Source organism: Homo sapiens, chromosome 19, assembly GCF_000001405.40.
Source record: "Homo sapiens chromosome 19, GRCh38.p14 Primary Assembly".
Lineage (NCBI taxonomy): Eukaryota > Metazoa > Chordata > Mammalia > Primates > Hominidae > Homo > Homo sapiens.
In genome coordinates, this window is record NC_000019.10 from 50,598,873 (window position 1) to 50,612,236 (window position 13,364).

Consider the following 13,364-nt stretch of genomic DNA (forward strand, 5'->3'; position numbering starts at 1 on the left):
CTCTCTCTCTCTCTCTCTATATTATATATTATAATATTATATATATTATATATTATATTATATATTTTATATATAATATAATATATATAATATATAAAATATATAATATATATTTTATATATTATATGTATTTTACTGGATATTAAATATATATATTATATATATATTTTACTGGATATTAAATTGACAGTTATTTTCTATCAGCACGTTGATCTTATTCTAGATTCCATTGTTACTGATGTAACAATGTCAGTTGTTATGCAAATTATTTATTTTTTTAAAAGCCAGTCCAATTTAGCAGTAAGAGGTTGTATAACAACTCGCAGTGAATTTCTTTTTTAAGACAAGGTCTCACTCTATTGCCAAGGCTAGGATGCAGTGGTGCAGTCATGGCTCACTGCAGCCGCAACCTCTTGGGCTCAAATGATTCTCCTGCCTCAGCCTCCTAAGTGAGTAGCTGGGACTACAGGCTGTGCCACCATGCCTGGCTAAGTTTTTAAAAAAATTTTTGTAGAGACAGTCTTGCTATGTTGCCTAGGCTGGTCTCAAACTCCTGGCCTTAAGCAATCCTCCTGCCACAGAGGCTTCCCAGAGTGCTGGGATAACTGATGTGAGACACCACACCTGGCCCTCCAACTATTGATCTTTTAAAGGACATCTGTCTTTTTTCTCTAGCTGCTGATGAGATCTCTTTGCCTTTAGTGTTCTGCAAACATACTGCCGCGGGTGCGACTGCTGGGGCCGGTGTCGCGGTCATTAAAGGAATTTACCGAGACAGTCATAGCTAAAGAAAAGCAGATTTATTGGAGAAAGTATGAAGATACATTGCAAGGTTGCAATGGGCTGCACAGCAAAGAAGCGGCTGTTTGCAAAGAGGCAGGGGCTAGAGGGATGAGTTTATGCTGCTGAGGTTACATGCGGAGTGAGGTATTTGGGAGCAGGATGTTGTGCCAGCCTGTTGTCTGTGATTAGTCATCTCTCAGAACAATTGTTTTCCCCAACCTGGGACCCCTTCCTTTTTGCTTACTTATTTTGTCAGGACTCCACGCATATTAATACAATGATGTTTCTAAGTGTAGATTTCTTTATACTTATGATTCATTAGGCTTCTTGAATCTTTGAATTAGATTCTCTCCTCAATTTTGGAAAATTTGAAAAATCCGCCATTATTTTCTTAAATATTCTTTCTGCCATATTCTCTTTATCCCCTCTTTTGGGACTCAGAATATAGATAAGACTCTCTGTCTTATCTACACTCCATGCCACTTAACCTCTTTTACATGTTTCCTGCTTTGTCTCTTATGGTGAATTGTGGATAACTTCTGTTGATCTATGTTCCAATTCACTATGTCTCTACTCAGCTGTTGCTTTTACTTTTAATCCTCTTTTAGAGTTTTTGTCATTTTCAAAGTACCTAGATAATTTTTTATAGTTTCTCGGTCCCTTGCCATTGCAAAACAATGGCAATCTTATATTTTATATGAACAAACCACACTGTTTTATGTCCCTCTGATAGTTCTAAAATCACAAGGATTAGTGGGTCTGTTTACAGTGTCTCTTATTTCTGCTAGTTCTTGCTCCTGGTACTTTGTGTTCTTGGTTATACCTGCGTGCTGCTCACGTTCCTTGGGAAAAAAAAAATATGTTTACAGGAGTAATTTGAGGCCTTTAATGAAGATTATTTTCACCAGAGAGAATTATCTGTGTGTTGTCATCAAGAGTTTAAAAATACTTCCACTTGGGGACTTTAAGTCCACAACTTGAGGTCTTTTGGACCACCCATGGAATAGGCTGCCAAGTAACAAACCAGGGCCAATTTACTTCTAGTTCCCCCTTACCCTGAGGGCATAGCCATTGCTTTCTCAGCTCAATGTGGACTCCCCACCTTGCTTGGGCCCTAGCTTTTTTTTGTTTTCCTTCCATCTAAGAAGCCATCCAAATAAAAGTTTAAATTTGCCAGGGTTATAAAATTCCCTTAGGGTAGAAGTACTCTGATTACTTCTCTGAGTTCCCAATTTTCCATCAGTTACAGCCTGATAAATCCTGTGAGCCTTCGGTGGTTTTTTTTTAAGTTACAGAAATTCTTTTAGAGATAGGGTCTTGCTATATTACCCATGCTGGAATGCAGTGGCTATTCACGAGCATATTCATTGTGCACTACAGCCTCAAACTCCTGGCCTCAAGGGGTCCTCCTGCCTCAGCCTCCTAGGTAGCTGGGACTACAAGTACAGGCCACTGTGCCAGGCCAATGCCTTCAAGATTTAAAAAAACGCATCCAGCATTTTTAGTTGCTTTTAGTGGGAATGTTGGTCTGAATAACCTAGCCTGCCATTATCAGCAACCTCAATTACTCTGTCCTCTCATCTTTGCTTAATTTCTCTTCTTAGCATTTAACACTACTTGACATTATATATTTATTTGTCCACCAACTAGGCTGAAAGCTGCGTGGGTGCATGTACTTTGTTTGCTGCTGTCGTCTCCCTGGCACCCACAATAATGCCTGGAAAATAGTGAATACTCAATAGTTGTTGAATGAATGAATGAAAAAAGAATGATTTTGCTTAGTGCTTTGTGCCATGGCTACTGTGGGCCAAAGAAAGAGGACTGGGGGATTCAGTGTCAAGATCTTTCAAATCACAATTCCAAATCAAGGTCACAACTTAACCAAACTGGCAGAAGGAACCTCAAGTGTTCTTGGCTTTCAGTACTTCCCAGGTTTAGGTACTGAGCTGAGTGGCAGGTCTCAGCTACCGACGGGTTTGTGGGTTCCCGTCACTCTCTCTGGGTCTTTGCTCAGTTCGCCTATCTTTGCTTTTGTCTGTTGTCGTCACCCTTTACCAAGTCTCAGACAGCTCTGACCCTCTCATTTCCTTTCTTTGCCCTTTCTCTCTATTCATCTCTGTGACTCAGTCTCTGTGTCCTTATCTTTCTCTAGTGGGTCTTGATCATGTACTTCCCGTCACTCTCCTCCCCCATAAGATACAATTCTAATGGTTTCTGACTTTGCCCGCACCCCTAATCTCTAGCTGCAGGATGTCTGACAAGCCATCTTCCATCTACCCCCGCGTCTTGCCTCATGACTTTTCTCTATCACCCCCTTTTTATGTTACCATCCCTTCTGTCTGACGTCACGCTCTCTGCCTTTATATCTTCACCACTCTCTCTCATTGAATGAACTCTGTTATGTTCATCCTGGTAGTGTCACCACAACTGCCCTCCACTCAGAGTCTGTGCATTCTGTTGCCATTCCCCCTGGCTCTGTCTCCTCTCACTCTGAATCCTCCATCTCTGTCCCTTGCTTGGCTTCTGTCTCCTCTATTTCTGTTGGAGCCTCTTTCTCTGAGTTCTACCTTCTATCTCCGTCTCTGTCCCGTCAGCTTCTGTTCCACTTCTCTCTTTGCTATTCTCTTTTCTTTTCTTTCTTTTTGACAGAGTCTCACTCTGTTGCCCAGACGAGGCTGGAGTGCAGTGGTGCGAACACCACGCACTGCAGCCTCCAACTCTCAGGCTCTAGTGATCCTCCCACCTCAGCCTCCCAGGTAGCTAGGACCACAGATGTGTGTCACTATCACCATGCCTGGCTAATTTTAAACATTTTTGTAGGGACACGGTCTCCTTTTGTTGCCCAGGTTGGAGGACAGTGGCATCAACATAGCTCACTGCAGCCTTGACCTCCCTGGCCCAAGTGATCCTCCTGCCTCAGCCTCCCAAATGGCTGAGACCACAGGCGCACAACACCATGCCCAGTGAACTTTTATATGTTTTTTTGTAGAGACAGGCTTTTGCCACGTTGGCCGGGCTGGTCTTGAACTCCTGACCTCAAGTGATCTGCCCACCTCTGCCTCCCAAAGTGCTGGGATTACATTCATGAGCCACCGTGCCCGGCCTGTCTTTGCTATTTGCCACCAGCTCTCTGTGCCCTCTGTGCACTCTTAATCTACTATTGCTTCCTGAATCTCTGATATTGACACCATTATCTCTGCCCCATCCATCTGAGTTTGTTCTCTTTGCCTCACTCGCTGTTGCCTCAGATTTTGTCTCTGGCACCATCTCCATATTTGTCACTTGTCCCCGTATCACTTCTGTTATCTCTGCCATGTGTCTAACACTGTCCACTATATCTTTATAGCCTTTGGGTCTCTGTCTTCTCTGTCTCTATGGCTGTCACCTTCTCTGTGTCGGCCACATCCCCTTATCTCTTTCTCCCCTATCACTGTCCCTTAGTCTCTGTCCCTTCTGTCACAGTCCTCCCTGTTTCTATTACTGTCCCCTTGGTATCTCTCCCATCTTCCTCCTTCCTCTTCTTCCCCTCTCCTTCTCCTTCTCCTTCCCCTTCTCCCTCTCCTCTCCCTCTCCTTCTTCTCTCTTTCTCTCACTTTTTCTTTTTTTTTTTTTCTTTTGTTGTTGTTGCTTTGTGTTTTTTTGACGTAGTCTCACCCTGTCGCCCAGGCTGGAGTGCAGTGACACAATCTTGGTAAACTGCAACCTTTGCCTCCCGAGTTCAAGCGATTCTCCTGCCTCAGCCTCTCCAGTAGCTGGAACTCTCCAGTAGCAGGCACTACAGGCGCCGCCACCAGACCCGCCTAATTTTTGTATTTTTAGTAGAGACGGGGTTTCACCGTGTTGGCCAGGATGGTCCTGAACTTCCGGCATCAAGTGATCCTCCCGCCTTGGCCTCCCAAAGTGCTGGGATTACAGGGGTGTGCCCTCGCGCTCGGCCGTCTCTCGCGTCTTTCTTAGACTCCCTGATCTCTGTCCTGGCCCCCGGGATCTTTGTCTTCGTCCCCTCTCTAGTTCGCTCCCAGCAGATTCACTGTCTTCTCTCTCTGGTCCTCTCCCCTTTGCCTCGGACTGTATCCTCTTCGTCGCTGTTGATCCCACTGCTGCACTGTCCTCGCTGCTGTCTTCTCACAGTCCTGTCGCCATCCCCATCCCCTGCCTCAGTCCCCTGTGCCGTCGGCCGCTCCACCTGTGACCGTGGAGTCTTTTTCTGTCACTTCCGTCTCTGTCACATCCCCTCTGGTCGCTCCTGGTCGGAGGCCCTGCCTCCCTCGCCTCAGGGCCCTTCCCCGCTCCTTCTCTTCCTGTCATCCCTGGCTCCTTCCCAGCGTCTTTCCTTCCTTCTCCGAATCGTCCTCTGCTCCTCTGGGTTTGCGCCTGCTGGGAGCTCTGCCCCTGGGAGCTGTTTCCTCCGCTCAGTCTCTGGGTGTTTCCTAGGGGGTCACATGCTCTTCTAGGCCTGTCCTGGGGCAGAGGGGTCGCCCTGAGGTCCATCAGTCAGTCTGACCATCTCCTTCGAACCTCGAGCCTCTCGCCTCGCCTCGCCTGACGCCCTTTCCCGCCCTTTATCTTTCCCTTCAGGATAAAAAATAAAAAGAGTCGGAAGCATCAGCGCCTAGGGCCCAATCGCCACTCTGGAACAGGTGTGCGCGGCGGGTCCGCGGGCTGGCGGGAGCTCACACGAACTCACGCGCGAGCTCGCAGGCCGCGGCGGCCGGCTGGCGACTAGTGACGTCGCAGGGGCTTGTCCCTGCCTTACTGGCTGCCTTCGACCAGCGCGCGCTTGCTGGAGTAGACGGCCGCGCCTTTCCCAGCGCCAGGGGGCGCTCAGCGCTAGAGCTCACTGACCCTGGGAGCCCTATGGAGAGACTCGTGTCATCCTGGCAACCCTGTCCTACCTGATTGGATACCTGCTGCCGTTCGTTGGATCCATTACTCTGATCGGATGCCTGGTGGGTCAAGGCTTGTACATAACTGGATGCCTGGAAATGTGGATCTACCCTACCTTTGGCATGTCTCTCTCTTAGCGGGATATCTTCCGCAAGCACTGGGGATGTGGACAAGGAAAGTAAATTGAGTCTCCGTTGGGGAGTGAGGGGTGTTGGACGTGGCACGGGAACCCGGCCGGAGTCAGCGGACCCAATTGGCTGCTCTCTCTCAGATACAGTTCCCCTTCCTCCCTCCAGGGGGCGCCATGGAACGCAGGGCCCTCACTGGCTCTGGGGACTGGGTGACGTCAGGGGTGAGCCTCTCGTGATTGGCTCCATCACCCTGCGTAAGATCAAAGGGAAGAAAGGAGAGCCCCGACAGCCGGAGCCATTGTGGCTCCGGCCGATTGCGCCGGCCCTCGGGCCCTCAGGGAGGCGAGGGTGTGAGGGTACAGAGTTCGAGGCCAACTTGGTCCACATTGGTAGGAAAAAAAAAATTTTTTTTATCGTTCCCTATATAACAACAAAACATAAAGGGAGGACGCCTTGATAGGAAGAAATGACATCTTCCTAAGTGTTTTTAAATTACTTCAATGTATCTTTTTTTTTTTTTTTTTTTTTTTGGGAGACTGAGCCTCGCTCTGTAGCCCAGGCTGGAGTGCAGTGGTGTGATCTTGGCTCACTGCAACCTCCGCCTCCTGGGTTCAAGCGAGTCTCCTGTCTCAGCCTCCCGAGTAGCTGGGATTACAGGCCCACGCCACCGTGCCTGGCCAATTTTGGTATTTTTAGTAGAGACGGAGTTTCACCATGTTGGCGAGGCTGGTCTCGAACTGCTGGCCTCAAGAGATCTCGCCCCTTGGCCTCCCAAAGTGCTGGGATTACAGGGGTGTGCCCTCGCGCTCGGCCGTCTCTCGCGTCTTTCTTAGACTCCCTGATCTCTGTCCTGGCCCCCGGGATCTTTGTCTTCGTCCCCTCTCTAGTTCGCTCCCAGCAGATTCACTGTCTTCTCTCTCTGGTCCTCTCCCCTTTGCCTCGGACTGTATCCTCTTCGTCGCTGTTGATCCCACTGCTGCACTGTCCTCGCTGCTGTCTTCTCACAGTCCTGTCGCCATCCCCATCCCCTGCCTCAGTCCCCTGTGCCGTCGGCCGCTCCACCTGTGACCGTGGAGTCTTTTTCTGTCACTTCCGTCTCTGTCACATCCCCTCTGGTCGCTCCTGGTCGGAGGCCCTGCCTCCCTCGCCTCAGGGCCCTTCCCGGTCTCCTTCTCTTCCTGTCATCCCTGGCTCCTTCACAGCGTCTTTCCTTCCTTCTCCGAATCGTCCTCTGCTCCTCTGGGTTTGTGCCTGCTGGGAGCTCTGCCCCTGGGAGCTGTTTCCTCCGCTCAGTCTCTGGGTGTTTCCTAGGGGGTCTCATGCTCTTCTAGGCCTGTCCTGGGGCAGAGGGGTCGCCCTGAGGTCCATCAGTCAGTCTGACCATCTCCTTCGAACCTCGAGCCTCTCGCCTCGCCCCGCCTGACGCCCTTTCCCGCCCTTTATCTTTCCCTTCAGGATAAAAAATAAAAAGAGTCGGAAGCAGCAGCGCCTAGGGCCGAATCGCCACTTTGCAACAGGTGCGCGCGGCGGGCCCGCGGGCTGGCGGGAGCTCACACGAACTCACGCGCGAGCTCGCAGGCCGCGGCGGCCGGCTGGCGACTAGTGACGTCGCAGGGGCTTGTCCCTGCCTTACTGGCTGCCTTCGACCAGCGCGCGCTTGCTGGAGTAGACGGCCGCGCCTTTCCCAGCGCCAGGGGGCGCTCAGCGCTAGAGCTCACTGACCCTGGGAGCCCTATGGAGAGACTCGTGTCATCCTGGCAACCCTGTCCTACCTGATTGGATGCCTGCTGCAGTTCGTTGGATCCATTACTCTGATTGGATGCTTGGTGAGTCAAGGCTTGTATATAATTGGATGCCTGGAACTATGGATCTTCCCTACCTTTCGCATATCTCTCTCTTAGCGGGATTTCTTCCGCAAGCACTGGGGATGTGGACGTGGAAAGTGACTGGCGTCTCCGTGGGGGAGTGAGGGGTGTTGCACACGGTGCAGGTACCCGGCGCGAGTTAGAGGTCCCTATTGGCTGCTCTCTCTCAGATACAGGTCACTTTCCTCCTGCCAAGATGCGCCATGGAACGCAGGGCCCTCGCTGGCCCTGGGGACTGGGTGATGTCACGGGTGAGCCTGTCGTGATTGGCTATATCGCTGTGCCTAAGACCAAAGGAAAGAAAGGAGAGCCCGGACAGCTGGATCCGCCGTGGTTCAGGGTACACGTTATAGGCCAACCTGGTCAACAATGATTTAAAAAAAAAATTTTATTGTTCCCTATATCATAACAACAAAATATAAAGGGAGGAAGACTTCAGAGGAAGAAATTGCGTCTTCCTAGCCGTTTTTAAATTACTTCAAAAAAAAATTTTTTTTGGACGAAGTCTTGCTCTGTCACCCAGGCTGGAGTGCAGTTGTTTGATCTTGGCTCACTGCAATCTCCGCCTCCTGGGTTCAAGCGGGTCTCCTGTCTCATTCTGCCAGGAGGTTGGGATTACAGGCACACGCCACCGCGCCTGGCTAATTTTTGTATTTTTAGTGGAGACGGAGTTTCACCATGTTGCGGAGGCTGGTCTCGAACTTCTGACCTCAAGAGATCCTCGCCTCTTGGCCTCCCAAAAAGCTGGGATTATAGGGGTGAGGCACCTTGCCTGGCCGTCTCTCCCGTATTTCTTAGACCCCTTCATCTCTGTCCTGGCCCCTGGGATCTTTGTCTTCGTCACCTCTCTAGTTCGCTCCCATCTGATTCACTGTCTTCTCTCTCTGGTCCTGTCCCCTTTGCCTACGAATGTATCCTCTTTATTGCTGTTGATCCCACTGCTGCACTGTCCTCGCTGCTGCCTTCTCACAGTCCTGTCGCCGTCCCCATCCTCTTTCTCAGTCCCCTGTGCCGTCGGGCGCTCCACCTGTGACCGTGGGGTCTTTTTCTGTCCCCTCGGTGCCTGTCACAACCCCTCTTGTCGCTCCTCCCCTGCCTCCCTCGCCTCAGGGCCCTTCCCCGTCTCCTTCTCTTCCTGTCATCCCTGGCTCCTTCCCAGCGTCTTTTCTTCCTTCTCCGAATCGTCGTCTGCTCCTCTGGGTTTGCGGCTGTTGGGGACTCTGCCCCTGGGAGAGAGAAATGCGAAACGTATTTCTGGGAGCTGGAAGCTGTTTCCTCCATTTAGTCTCTGGATGTTTTCTAGGTGACCACAGCCTCTTATAGGCCTGTCCTGGGGCAGAGCGGCCACCTTGAGGTCCATCAGTCAGTCTGATCATCTCTGTAGAACCTCGAACCTCTCGCCTCGCCTCGCCTGACGCCGTTTCCTGCCCTTTATCTCTCCCTTCAGAATTAAAAAAAAAAAAAAAAAAAAAGACAGTCGGAAGCAGCAGCGCATGAGCCCCAATCACCACTCTGAAACAGGTGCGCGCGGTGGCCTGCGGGCTCGCGGGAGCTCACGCGAACTCACGCGCGAGCTCACAAGCTGCGGCGGCCGGCTAGGCGACTAGTGACGTCACCGAGGCTTGTCCCTGCCTTATTGGCTGCCTTCGACCAGCGCGCGTTTGCTGGAGTAGTCGGCCACGCCTTGCCAATCGCCAGGGGGCGCTCAGCGCTAGAGCTCCGCGACCCTGGGAGCCCTATAGAGAGACTCGTGTCATCATGGCAACCCTGCCCTACCTAATTGGATACCTGCTCCAGTTGGTTGGATCCATTACTCTGATTGGATGCCTGGCGAGTCAAGGCTTGTATATAATTGGATGCCGGAAATTTGGATCTTTTCTACGTTTCGCATTTCTGTCTCTTAGCCGGATTTCTTCCGCAAGCACTGGGGATGTGGAGATTGAAAGTAACTTGAGTCTCCGTGGGGGAGTGATGGGTGTTGGGCACGGTATGGGAACCTGGCCCGAGTCTGCGGACCCGATTGGCTGCTGTCTCTCAGATACAGGTCCCTTTCGTCCCGCCAAGGGGGGCCATGGAACGTAGGGCCCTCTCTGTCCCTGGGGACTGGGTGATGTCAGGGGTGATTGGCTACATCGCTCCCCAGAAGGTGAAATGGAAAAATTGAGAGCACTTTCCCACCAGCTTCGGTGGCTCCATCAGGTTGTCCTGGCGCACAAGCTGGCGATGCTATGTGTTTGAAGCTAACCTGGGCAAAATTGAAAAAAAATTGTTTTTTCATTGTTCCGTCATAAAGGGAGGTCTCGACAGGAAGAAATTGCGCTTCCAATAGAATTGTTTTTAAATTACTGCAATATATCTTTTGAGATGGAGTCTTGCTCTATTGCCTAGGGTGGAGTGCAGTCTTATGATCTCGTCTCACTGTAACCTCTGCCTCTTGGGTTGAAGAGAGTCTCCTCTCTCACCCTGAGGTTACAGGCGCACACTACCACACTTGGCTAATTTTTGAATTTTGGCTTCTTTTTGAGATGGAGTCTTGCTCCGCCGCTGAGGCTCAAGGGCAGTGGTGCGATCTTGGCTGACTGCAACCTCTGCCTTCCGGGTTCAAGTGATTCATCTGCCTCAGCCTCCCGAGTAGCTGGGACTACAGGCACGTGCCACCACGCCTAGCTAATTCTTTGTATTTTTAGTAGAGAAAGGGTTTCACTGTGTTAGGATGGTCTCTATCTCCTGACCTTGTGATCTGCCCGCCTCAGCCTCCCAAAGTGGTGGGATTACAGGTGTGAGCCACCGCTACCTGGCCTTTTAAAAAATTTATTTATTTATTTATTTATTTTTATTTTGAGGCGGAGTCTTACTCTGTTGCCCAGGCTGGAGTGCAGTGGCGTGATTTTGGCTCACTGCAACCCCCGCCTCCCGGGTTCAAGCAATTCCTTTGCCTCAGCGACCCAGTAGCTGGGATTACAGGCGCGTGCCACCATGTCTGGCAATTTTGTGTATTTTTAATAGAGACGAGGTTTCCCCATTTTGGCCAGGCTGGTCTTCAACTCCCGACCTCAGGTGATCCGCCCGCCTCCGCTTTCCAGACTGCTGGGCTTACAGGCGTGAACCACTGCGCCAGCCTCTTTATCCCTTCTATACTGCATACCCCAAGTTGCAAACTGTTATTAGAGTGAATACCTAGGGGCAACTTGGATCCTTATAATGGACACCTGATATTTTTGCCTGAGTGACATCTGTTATCTCTGATTTTCTTCTTCATTAATAATTTTTTTTGGAGCAGTCTTAGGTTTACAGGAAAAAATCGAATGAAAAGTACCGAGAGTTTCTACATCCCCCTTCATCCCTTCATTGCCCCTCATCTTCCCTGTTAACATCTTGTGTTACTGTGCTACGTTTGTTACAATTAATAAGCCAGTATTGATACATTATTATTAGCTGAAATCTGCAGTTTACATTAAGGTCCACTCCTTGTGTGATACCTTGTACAGTCTATTTTTTTTTTAATAAAGTATTTTTTTGGTTTTTTTTTTTTTTTTTGAGATGGAGTCTTGCTCTGTCACCCAGGCTGGAGTGCAGTGGCGCGATCTCGGCTCACTGCAAGCTCCACCTCCTGGGTTCACACCATTCTCCCGCCTCAGCCTCCTGAGTAGCTGGGACTACAGGCGCCTGCAATCACGCCTGGCTAATTGTTTGTATTTTTAGTAGAGACGGGGTTTCACCGTGTTATCCAAGATGGTCTCGATCTCCTGACCTCATGATCTGCCCACCTTGGCCTCCCAAAGTGCTGGGATTACAGGCGTGACCCACCGCGCCAGGCCTTTTTTTTTTTTCAGTTTTAAAATCACAGCAAAATTGAGAGGAAAGTCCATAGTTTACATTCAGTTTCTCTCTTAGTGTTTTATTGTCTATGGGTTTGAACAAATTTATAATGACATGTGTCCACCATTATAGTATTATGCAGAGTAGTTTCACTGTCCTAAAACTCCTCTGGGCTCTGCTGATTCATCCTTCCCTCCTCCCAAACCCCTAAAAACCAATGATTTTTTTTTAACTGTCTCTATAGTGTTTCCTTTTCCAGAATGTGGTATAGTTGGAATCATACCATATGTAGCCGTTTCGTATTGGCTTCTTTCACTTAACAATATGCATTTTAGGTTCCTCCATATCTTTTCATGGCTTATTATAACTGATTAATATTCCATTGTATGGATGTACTGCAGTTTGTTCATCTACTGAAGGACATCTTGTTTGCTTCCAAGTTTTGACAATTATGTACAGAGCCGCTATGAATATTTGTCTTCAGGTTTTTGTGTGGATGTAAGTTTTGAGCTCATTTGAGTAAATACCAAGGAACATGAGTGCTGCAATATATGGTAAGAGTGTTTAGTTTTGTAAGGAAGTGCCAAATTGTCTTCTAAAGTGGCTGCACCATTTTGCATTACTGCCAGAGATGAATAAGAGTTCCTGACGTTCCTCATCCTCATCAGCACTTGGTGTTATTCATGTTTTGGATTTTCACCATTCTAATAGGTGGTTGTCGTATGTCATCGTTGCTGTAATTTGCAATTTCCTAATGACATTTGATGTTGAGCCCCGCTTTTTTTTGGAGACGGAGTCTTGCTCTGTCGCCGAGGCTGAAGTGCAATGGCATGATCTCGGCTCACTGCAACTTCTGCCTCCCAGGTTCAAGTGATTCTCCTGTCTCAGCCTCCCAAGTAGCTGGGATTACAGGCATGCGCCACTACGCCTGGCTAATTTTGTATTTTTAGTAGACATGGGGTTTCTCCATGTCGATCAGGCTGGTCTCGAATGCCTCGCCTCAGGTGATCTGCCCACCTTGGCCTCCCAAAGTGCTGGGATTACAGGTGTGAGCCACCACGCCCGGCCCAAGTACCTTTTATTTATTTGTTTGTTTGTTTATTTATTTATTTTAAGAAACAGGGTCTCTGTTGCCCAGGCTGGAGTACAGCAGTGCAATCATAGCTCACTGCCGCCTCCAACTCTTAGATCCTCCTTCTCAGCCTCCCCAGTAGCTGGGACTACAGTTGTGTGCTGTCACACCTGGCTATTTTTTTATTTCTATTTTTATTATTTTATTTATTTATTTATTTAGAAACAGGGTCTCGCTCTGTCATCCAGGCTGGAATGCAGTGGCACTGGAATCTCTGCTGACTGCAACCTCTGCCTCCTAGACTCAAGTGATCCTCCGACCTCACCTTTCCAAGTAGCTGAGACCACAGGTGTGCAACACCACACCTGGCTAGTTTTTTGTATTTTTCGTAGAGATGGGGTTTCACCACGTTGCCTGGCTGGTCTTGACCTCCTGAGCTCAAGGGAATTACCAGCTGTGGCCTCCCAAAGTGCTGGGATTGCAGGTGTGAGCCACCACATCTGACCTTTTTATTTTTATTTTTTGTAGAGATGGCGTCTCAGTGTGTTGCCTAGGTTGGTCTGAAACTCTTGGCCTCAAATGATCCTCCTGCCCCAGCCTCCCAAAGTGTTGGGATTATAAGCGGGAGCCACCACACCTGGCCAACTATCTTTTTATTTACTTATTTGCCATCTGCATATCTTCTTTGTTGAAGTGTCTGTTCAGATCTGTTCCCTATTTTTAAATTGGGTTGTTTGTTTTCCTATTGTTGAGTTTTAGTTCTTTGTATACCAGCTTTCTTTTTTCTTTTTCTTTCTTTCTTTTTTT

General features: G+C 49.0%; 1 non-coding gene across 1 annotated transcript, besides 1 other annotated feature; it reads left to right on the forward strand.

The window, feature by feature from the left end:
- Nucleotides 4,107–4,274: a transcriptional cis regulatory region, noted in NCBI's record as "candidate enhancer chr19.5650 targeted for multiplex CRISPR interference". NCBI's record gives its function as "positively regulates ATF5 gene expression with high confidence in K562 cells {active_cell/tissue: K562}" and the evidence as "EXISTENCE:mutant phenotype evidence [ECO:0000015][PMID:30612741]".
- On the forward strand, nt 6,091–6,213 carry SNAR-F (small NF90 (ILF3) associated RNA F). The gene has a single exon (NR_004384.1). It is a non-coding gene; the product is annotated as a small NF90 (ILF3) associated RNA F (small nuclear RNA).
- The last annotated feature ends 7,151 nt before the right edge of the window (nt 6,214–13,364 follow it).